Source organism: Homo sapiens, chromosome 4, assembly GCF_000001405.40.
Source record: "Homo sapiens chromosome 4, GRCh38.p14 Primary Assembly".
NCBI classification, from domain to species: domain Eukaryota; kingdom Metazoa; phylum Chordata; class Mammalia; order Primates; family Hominidae; genus Homo; species Homo sapiens.
The window spans coordinates 132,120,041-132,129,045 of record NC_000004.12 but is presented as its reverse complement, the minus strand read 5'-3'; the positions used below and the strand labels follow the sequence as shown (position 1 = coordinate 132,129,045).

At 40.5% G+C, this 9,005-nt stretch overlaps 5 annotated features.

Annotated features, from left to right (window-relative positions):
- Positions 3,343 to 4,087: an enhancer, noted in NCBI's record as "NANOG-H3K4me1 hESC enhancer chr4:133046114-133046858 (GRCh37/hg19 assembly coordinates)". NCBI's record gives its function as "activates a minimal SCP1, AML or CMV promoter by ChIP-STARR-seq in naive H9 embryonic stem cells {active_cell/tissue: H9 hESC(naive)}" and the evidence as "EXISTENCE:reporter gene assay evidence [ECO:0000049][PMID:30033119]".
- Positions 4,088 to 4,833: an enhancer, noted in NCBI's record as "NANOG-H3K4me1 hESC enhancer chr4:133045368-133046113 (GRCh37/hg19 assembly coordinates)". NCBI's record gives its function as "activates a minimal SCP1, AML or CMV promoter by ChIP-STARR-seq in naive H9 embryonic stem cells {active_cell/tissue: H9 hESC(naive)}" and the evidence as "EXISTENCE:reporter gene assay evidence [ECO:0000049][PMID:30033119]".
- Positions 4,088 to 4,855: a biological region, named in NCBI's record as "NANOG-H3K4me1 hESC enhancer GRCh37_chr4:133045368-133046113".
- Positions 4,486 to 4,855: an enhancer, noted in NCBI's record as "active region_21906". NCBI's record gives its function as "activates an Ori minimal core promoter by ATAC-STARR-seq in GM12878 lymphoblastoid cells {active_cell/tissue: GM12878}" and the evidence as "EXISTENCE:reporter gene assay evidence [ECO:0000049][PMID:35858748]".
- Positions 7,244 to 7,419: a silencer, noted in NCBI's record as "fragment chr4:133042782-133042957 (GRCh37/hg19 assembly coordinates)". NCBI's record gives its function as "represses an EF-1alpha promoter that drives an FKBP-Casp9 reporter gene in an ReSE screen in HepG2 liver carcinoma cells {active_cell/tissue: HepG2}" and the evidence as "EXISTENCE:reporter gene assay evidence [ECO:0000049][PMID:32094911]".

Below are 9,005 nucleotides of genomic sequence, written 5' to 3'. Positions count from 1 at the left end.
GCTCACTCCTAGGAAGTCATGCTTCATTGATGAGCAATTTACCAAGTTATAAAGCTGATGGGGTATAGCCCAAATTTAGAGCAAGGTGAAGAAGGTGACATTGTGACTTGAGTCAGGCTTCACAGTTGCATCTTCAATTAATGCAATTTTTTGAACAAACTTTAGTTTTGTCAGTTGTGTGTTGACTCCATTGCCAACAAATGCCGCACCAGGAGTAAAGACAAAAACAAGACAAAATGCTACAAATGATTATTATTCCTAGTTTTTTCCATCAGGTTTCCCAAGATCCAAATCAGCTTCTTATCCAATAATCCGGAGAGGATATTAAATCTGAAAGGTTAGTTATTTGGTTTTCCATATCAGCCATTAATGTAAATATGTTATCTAGTTCATCTGGGATATAGACACAACACTCAGTTTTTACGATAGTGCAAGTTCCCCCTTTCAATGCAGTGAGTATATCTAAAGCTATATGGTTCTGCAATACAGCAATTCTCATAAGAGCAACTTCACTGTTTAATAATAAGATCCAGGTGACTACCATTTACCACCTTTTATCGTGTAATTGGTTAAAGCCTCTACATGCCAAATGACAACCTCAGTACCCAGTTGTGGCAGAAAGATGGAAGCTAAATGATTATACCAATGAAATAGGGAATGAGCCAAATAAGACTATAAATAAGAAAAATTTTCAGGCTGTGAAAGCGTATGAACTATTTAACCTTGTGCCCAGCTGTAACCCAAAGAACACTGTCCTAAACATTCTTGGGTTAACTGTAGCCATTAATTGGTGCCTCATTGTCAAGTTATTCCATTTGGAGCTAGCCAATAAATACTGGCCACTGTGTTCATTCAGTGACATGTCAATCAGTACTTTGTAAGATAAGGGTGTGGACACATCATTTCTTGGGTATCCATCCCATATCTTCAGTGTTACTGAACTATGTGTCTTTGGTGTGATTCTTTTCTTTTTTCTCAACATAAAGCTGACTAAGTTGACCAAAAGAAGGGGTAAGCTATACAGAGATGTCTCAAATTTGTGTTGTACCATCCTAGAATTAAGTTGTCTTATTTCTCAGTTGAGGCAACGGTAGTATTAAAAGCAAAAAAAAGATTTCATCTACCAAAAAGCTCTTCCCATGCCCTTTGCTTTGTAAAGTATAATTAATAGACCAGTTACATATGTCATCCTTAGTCATACTAATGTAAGCACCAATGATTTTTCTTGAGAAATACAGATATATTTCTGATATTCTATCCAATATTTTCCTTAGAAAGGAGATACCCACCGTGATAGGTAAGAACCACCAGAAAAAGGTATGAGGTCACATATCCAACAAGTGTTTTTTTGTAATCTATCAGCATAGTTTTGACTCCATTGCAAGAGATTAGATTCATAGGCAATAGCTTTGGTAGTAGCAATAAAGCATAATATCTAGGGTTGAAAAGAAAGATATTTAGTGGGAACTTGCAAAGGAAGACTTTTAATGATTAATCTATTAATCATTAATCTATTAATGATTGTTAATATTAAGCATTAGTTTAGACACAGGTCTGGTTTGGTGTTTTGAGAAAGCTAACTGCATCTGATATATTTTTCTCATCTTTGTTGGTTCTAGATAGTTTCAATTTTTAAATCACTGGTTTAAGATAAGGTAGAAATTAGTAAAGTGACTTTCTTTAAATGAGTGACATGTATCTAAAAATCTATTACTTTTAACTTAGCAGCACACAGGTTAGTTAGGAGCACTTGATAAGGTCCCTTCCATTTTGGTTAAATGAAGTCCTTTAAAAGAATGCCATTTTCAACAGACAAATCTCCTGGTTGATGTCCATGGTCCTTGTGTTCCTTGTCTCCTTGGAGCTCACTGTGGAAAGAGTGTTTTACTATTAATAAATTACAATTTTTAATTAGTTGCCTTATGAGGCTGCTGCAATAATACAACATATCCCCCTTTGATATCATAGATTTACAATTACCTGAAAATAATTTCATAGGTCTGCCTGTGATAATTTCAAATAGAGAGAGCCAGTGTTTATGAATAGGGAAAGAGGTGGATCTTAGGATAAGAACAAGCAACCAGTGAAAGAGCTTTTGGCCAAGGGGTTTTAAAAGCCTCAGTTATTTTTGCCAAATGAATTTTGATTATTTTGCTTGTGTGTTCCACTAACCCAGGTGACTGGCAGTAATATGCACAATAGAAATGTTGGAGAGTGAGCCAGATTTTATATATCGACTAGATTATTTGTCCAGTGAAATGAGTCACTGTGAATGTCTAGAGGAACTCCACATATCAGAATATTTTTCCCAAAGATAATTTTATTTACTCCTAAGTCTGTTGCTCTTCTGCATAGAAATGCTTTTACCCAATGAGAAAACATATAAATCATCACTAGAATGTACTCGTACCCTTGTAACATAAATAGTTGGATAAAATATAATTGTCACGCTTTGAAGGGGCCTTCAGGTAAAGAAAAATGACTTTGAGTACTATGTAAATATTTCCCCAGATTATAGTTTTGGCAGAAGTGACGGTGATTGCATACATTATGAGCAATAATTGCAGAAATTTCCAATAATATTGTTTTCTCCAAGTAATCACTTCACCAGGGCTCCATTGAATTAAACCAGGTACATAAGCTAGGAAAGATAACTGTAATTTTGTTGGAAGTATGAGTAGACCATTTGGTGCATACCACAGTCCAGTCATAGAGGAGTTATTTACCCTTCTATTTACCAATTTTCTTGTTCTATTCTTAGGACTTCGGATTGAAGTAATTGTATATCAAAATCAAGTACTTCCTTGAAAACAAAAATGGGTTGACTTTCTTGCTCAGATACATTAAGGGAGCCCTTTTTGCTATATTATTTGATAATTGCTGTCCTTTGCTATCTGTAGTGTCTGACTTTCAGTGGTCTGGAATCTTGATAGTAGCTAATGCTTTTGGCAATAATATGGCTTCCAGAAATTCTGAAACAAAGTGTCCATTCTTTAGACTGATAGGAAATGTTCAAAATTCTCTTTTTTTCCATAACATTCCAAAGTCATCAGCTACTCTGAAAGCATATGTGCTATTTCTATAAATATTAGCAGTTGTTCCTTTTGCCAATTGACAAGCTCTAATTAATGCTATTAACTCAGCTTGTTGAGCCAAGTTTGCTTCTGGAAGATAAGCACTTTCTGTATTCTCAGTTAAAGATCCTATAACATAACCTGCATGATAAATTCCAGAATCATCAAGTATGATTTATCTGTACACAAAACAACATTAGCATTAGTAAGGAGAGTTTTTTTGCAGGACCATTGTAGGAGAAAGTAGCTGGTTGGTTAAGATTAGGAAATTGTGTGGCTTTTCATCTAAGAAGAAGGGGCAGAAGAGTAGCAAGATTTAGTTTTTGCATCTAGAAATTGTAATATGGAAAGAAGAAAAAACAAACTTCATAAAAAGCCTGTCTACTGATCGAATTTATTTAATACATATAGGTAGTAAAATATCATGTATATAAACATATAGACAGAAGCAAATTCTACAGTGTTGTAACATTCTTCTTCAAACAGTTTCTTTGCCCACTTTATTCTATCAATCTCTTCCTCATCTGTTCCATTGCTCTAAATAATTGTTAGCTGGTTAGGCAACTCTAAATTTGTACTTCCAAAGACATGACTCTTAAGTAAAAATTTACATCCCAAAGACGTAGAACTTACATTTAAACACCGTATTTGCTTAAACAAAGAAGAGAATAGATAAAGGCTTAGTAAAGACAGCATTGCCAGTAAAAGTATCTTTAACAAAGATAAGATTTGTTATGTAAACTTTAAGCCAATGTTTTCCTCATCTCAAAAATTTCTAGTGGCTTAAATACAGAGAGGAAGATGCCATTATAAATGGAGATTTCCTTTGTAGATGTAAATTTATTTTACAAACAATTTAAAAATAGCCAGCTTAATGCCAATAAGTCATATTTTGGAAACCAATCTAGTTAGGTAGGCAGTTTTTTCAACTTAACTTGTTTCTTGATTCTATTACTGACTTCCAGATGGAGTCCCTTAATGTATAGGACAAAGAAAGCATGCAGTTTTTAAGGCCTTAATATTTAAATATGTGAAAAGTAGGCGTAGGTGAAAAACAAAACACTTAGATCAACCCCAATTGAGAATCCCACTTTTTCATTGAATTTTTTGATCCCAGAAAGAGGGAAACATCATGAGTCTGCAACACTGCCACAGTGCAGCTCATTGCAAGGACATTCCCCCCAAGGCTGGTGGGCAACCCAACACCAATAAGCCCATTCTGTGATCAGTCCATCCCACTTGGAATTCTTATCCCTCAGTGGTGTTTCATAGCCTCCAGGGCTCCAAGTCACACTTTTCTTACCTATACTCACAAATAAATGAGTGGCTCTCTGCAGTAATAGCCATTCCTCATAAGCTCTGTCAGTCACATCCAAAACTTCAGTTAGCACTCACCAATGAGTTTTTGGCCATTGCACATTAAAAGGTCATGTGCTTTCATGGTACAAAGTGATCCCTGGCACTCCCCCAAACCAAAGAAATCCCAGAAAGAGAGCAGAGCTTTAGATCTGATTCTTCCCATTGAGGAACTAAGTGGCTAAGTTGGCTGGACTTCCAGGCCCAATAGGGACTTCCCTAAGGGGACTTTCCCCTAAGCCAAAATGAGTCATAGCTGCAAGCTAAGGGATTGAAACTTCAACCAATCAAAAGGGACGTTCCCCTAAGCCAAAATGAGTTATAGCTGCAAACTAAGGGAATGAAACTTCAACCAATCATATAGGGAGTTTAAGCTCTACCTGCAGCCTGATGTTTTTAACCAGTTAGGTCCACCAACCCACAAGGGAATAGAAAATAAGCTAGTCCTATAGAACAGAGAAAGGAAAAGGAGAGGAATCATGAGGGGATATAAGCATAAGACATCCAAGCCAGAAACGCAACCCTTCCGGGTCCCCTTCCTCATCGGCGAAGCTTTACTTTCGCTTTCGCTTTCCCTTTAATAAATCTTGCCGCCCCACACTCTTTGGGTCCGCACCTTTCTCTAATCAAGCAGTAACACTTCATTCCTTGAAGCCGGTGAGACCACGAACTCTTCGATCGAGAAAAACCTTCCATCAGAGGAAGACTTCTCGTTTCACCATTTTCATGGGCGTCCTTGTGAAGAGACCACCAAACAGGCTTTGGGTGAGCAATAAAGCTGTTTATTTCACCTGGGTGCAGGCGGGCTGAGTCCGAAAAGAGAGTCAGCGAAGGGAGATAGGGGTGGGGCCGTTTTATAGGATTTGGGTAGGTAAAGGAAAATTACAGTCAAAGGGGGGTTGTTCTCTGGCGGGCAGAGTGGGGGTCACAAGGTACTCAGTGGGGGAGCTTTTGAGCCAGGATGAGCCAGGAGAAGGAATTTCACAAGACAATGTCATCAGTTAAGGCAGGAACAGGCCATTTTCACTTCTTTTGTGGTGGAATGTCATCAGTTAAGGCAGGAACCGGCCATCTGGATGTGTATGTGAAGGTCACAGGGGATATGATGGCTTAGCTTGGGCTCAGAGGCCTGACATTCCTGTCTTCTTATATTAATAAGAAAAATAAAACAAAATAGTGGTAAAGTGTTGGGATGGTGAAAATTTTTTGGGGGTGGTATGGAGAGATAATGGGTGATGTTTCTCAGGGCTGCTTCGAGCGGGATTAGGGGCAGCGTGGGAACCTAGAGTGGGAGAGATTAAGCTGAAGGAAGATTTTGTGGTAAGGGGTGATATTGTGGGGTTGTTAGAAGAAACATTTGTCATTTAGAATTATTGGTGATGGCCTGGATACAGTTTTGTATGAATTGAAAAACTAAACGGAATAAGAGAAGGAGAAAAACAGGTATTAAAGGACTAAGATTTGGGAGGACCTAGGACATCTAATTAGAGAGTGCCTAAGGAGGTTCATCATAGCCTTGCCAGTAAAGATTATTTATTTACTTTAAGAGTTAAGAGTGGTGGTTTGGGGATAGCACCAGGAGGTATCAGCTGTGCTGGCTTGGAGAAACAGTGTAAACTGGCAGTGTAAACAAGAGCAGGGCATGTATGAGTAATTGAGAACAGTGAATAGGAGTATGACTAGACAGAAGACAGTAGGGATGACAAGTGTTTTGGGGCCCAATCCAAGTTGGTCTGGTGTCTGGAATGAGACTGGTACCTAATAAAAAGGAGCATCTATACGGGAGCTCAAATGGGCTGTCCCCTGTAGCATTCTGAGGACAGGTCTGATTTCTGAGAAGGGAAAGTGGTAAAAGTATTGTCCAGTCCTTTTTAAGTTGGTGGCTGAGCTTGGTGAGGTGTGTTTTTAAAAGACCTTTAGTCTGTTCTACTTTTCCTGAAGACGGAAGACCCTAAGGGATTCACTGAATACTAACAGCCTGAAAAGCTGCTTGGCTGATTTGACTAATAAAGGCTGGTCTGTTATCAGACTGCATAGAGGTGGGAACGCTAAACTGAGGACTCGTGTCTGAAAGAAGGGAAGAAATGACTGCGGTGGCCTTCTCAGACCCTGTAGGAAAGGCCTGTACCTATCCAGGGAAAGTGTCTACCTAGACTAAGAGGTATTTTAGTCATCTGACTCGGGGCATGTTGAGTAAAGCTAATTTGCCAGTCCTGGGTGGGGGCAAATCCCTGAGCTTGCTGTTAGGGAAGGGAGGGGGCCTGAATAATCCTTGAGGAGTAGTAGAATAGCAGATGGAACACTGAGAAGTTATTTCCCTGAGGATAGATTTCCATGATAGAAAGAAAATGAGAGGTTCTAAGAGGTGGGGCTAGTGGCTTGTACTATAGCATAGCCTGCCTTTGCTGGTTGTGGCGATTAGGTCTGGTGGAACCGTCATCAATAAATCAAGTGTGATCAGGGTGAGGAACAGGAAAGAAGGAAATATGGGGAAATGGGGTGAATGTCAGATGGATCAGAGAGATACAGTCATGGGGGTCAGGTGTGGTATCAGGAATAATGTGGGAGGCCAGATTGAAGTCTGGGCCAGGAACAATGGTAATTGTGGGACTTAACAAAGAGTGAGTACAGCTGAAGGAGCCAGGGCGCAGAAAGTATATGCATCAGGTATGAGGAAGAAAATAGATTTTGGAAGTTATGAGAAATGTAGACAGTAAGTTGAGCATAGTTTGTGATTTTGAGGGCCTCTAGAACAATTAGGGCAGCAGCAGCCGCTGCACGGAGACATGAGGGCTAGGCTAAAACAGTAAGGTCAAGTTGTTTGGACAGAAAGGCTACAGGGTGCCGTCTTGGCTCTTGTGTAAGAATTCTGACCGCACTAACCATGCCTAGGAAGGAAAGGAGTTGTTTTGTAAGGGATTGAGGTTTGGGAGATTAATCAGACATGATCAGCAGCGAGCGCACGTGTGTTTTTGTGAGAATTTTGCTGAGATAGGTAACAGATAAAGAAGAAATTTGGGCTTGACTGAAGTAATGGGGGCTGTCTGTGAAGCTTTGCGGCAGTACAGCCCAGGTAATTTGCTGAGCCTGATGGGTGTCAGCGTCAGTCCAAGTGAAAGTGAAGAGAGGCTGGGATGACGGGTGCAAAGGAATAGTAAAGAAAGCATGTTTGAGATCCAGAACAGAATAATGGATCGTGGAGGGAGGTATTGAGGATAGGAGAGTATATGGGTTTGGCACCATGGGGTGGATAGGCAAAACAATTTGGTTGATAGGCATAGATCCTGAACTAACTTGTAAGGCTTGCCTGGTTTTAGGACAGGAGAAATGGGGGAATTGTAAGGAGAGTTTATAGGCTTTAAAAGGCCATGCTGTAGCAGGCGAGTGATAACAGGCTTTAATCCTTTCAAAGCATGCTGTGGGATGGGATATTGGCATTGAGCGGTGTAAGGGTGATTAGGTTTTAATAAGATGGTAAGATGTGCATGATCGGTCGCCAAGGAAGGAGTAGAGGTATCTTATATTTGTGGGTTAAGGTGGGGGAATACAAGAGGAGGACGCAAAGGAAGCTTTGGATTGGGAAGAAGGGTGGCAATGAGATGTAGCTGTAATCCAGGAATAGTCAGGGAAGCAGATAATTTAGTTAAAGTGTCTCAGCCTACTAAGGGAACTGGGCAGGTGGGGATAACTAAAAGGAGTGCTTAAAAGAGTATTGTCTAAGTTGGCACCAGAGTTAGGGGGTTTTAAGAGGTTTAGAAGCCTGGCTGTCAATACCCTCAACAGTTATGGAGGCAAGGGAAACAGGCCCTTGAATATAAGTTAACGTGGAGTGGGTAGCCTCCGTATTGATTAAGAAGGGGACGGACTTACCTTCCACTGTGAGAGTTACCTAAAGCTCGGCGTCCGTGATGGTCTAGGGGGCTTCCGAGGCGATCGGGCAGCGTCAGTCTTCAGCCACTAAGCCAAGAAGATCTGGGAAGGAGTCAGAGAGCCTTGGGCCAGAGTTCCAGGGGCTCTGGGAGTGGCTGCCAGGTGAGTTGGACAGTCCGATTTCCAGTGGGGTCCCACACAGATGGGACGCAGCTTAGGAGGAATCCTGGGCTGTGGGCATTCCTTGGCCTGGTGGCCATATTTCTGGCACTTGTAGCAAGCTCCTGGGGGAGGCGGTTCTGGAGGAACACCTGGCCACTGTGGTTCAGGCGTTTGGAAGTTCTTTTGTGCTGGAGATGTGGCTGGGGTTTGTCTCACAGTGGAGGCAAGGAATTGCAAGTTTTTTCTATTATTGTACACCTTGAAGTCGAGGTTAATTAAATCCTGTTGTGGGGTTTGAGGCCCGGAATTTAATTTTTGGAGTTTTATTTAATGTCGAGAGCAGATTGGGTAATAAAATGTATTTTGAGAATAAGACGGCCTTTTGACCTTTTAGGGTCTAGGGCTGTAAAGTGTCTCAGGGTTGTTGCCAAAGGAGTCATGAACTGGGCTGGATTTTTATATTTGATGAAAAAGAGCCTAAACACTATCTGATTTGGGATAAAGAAAAAGGAGCATTAACCTTGACTATGCCTTTAGCTCCAG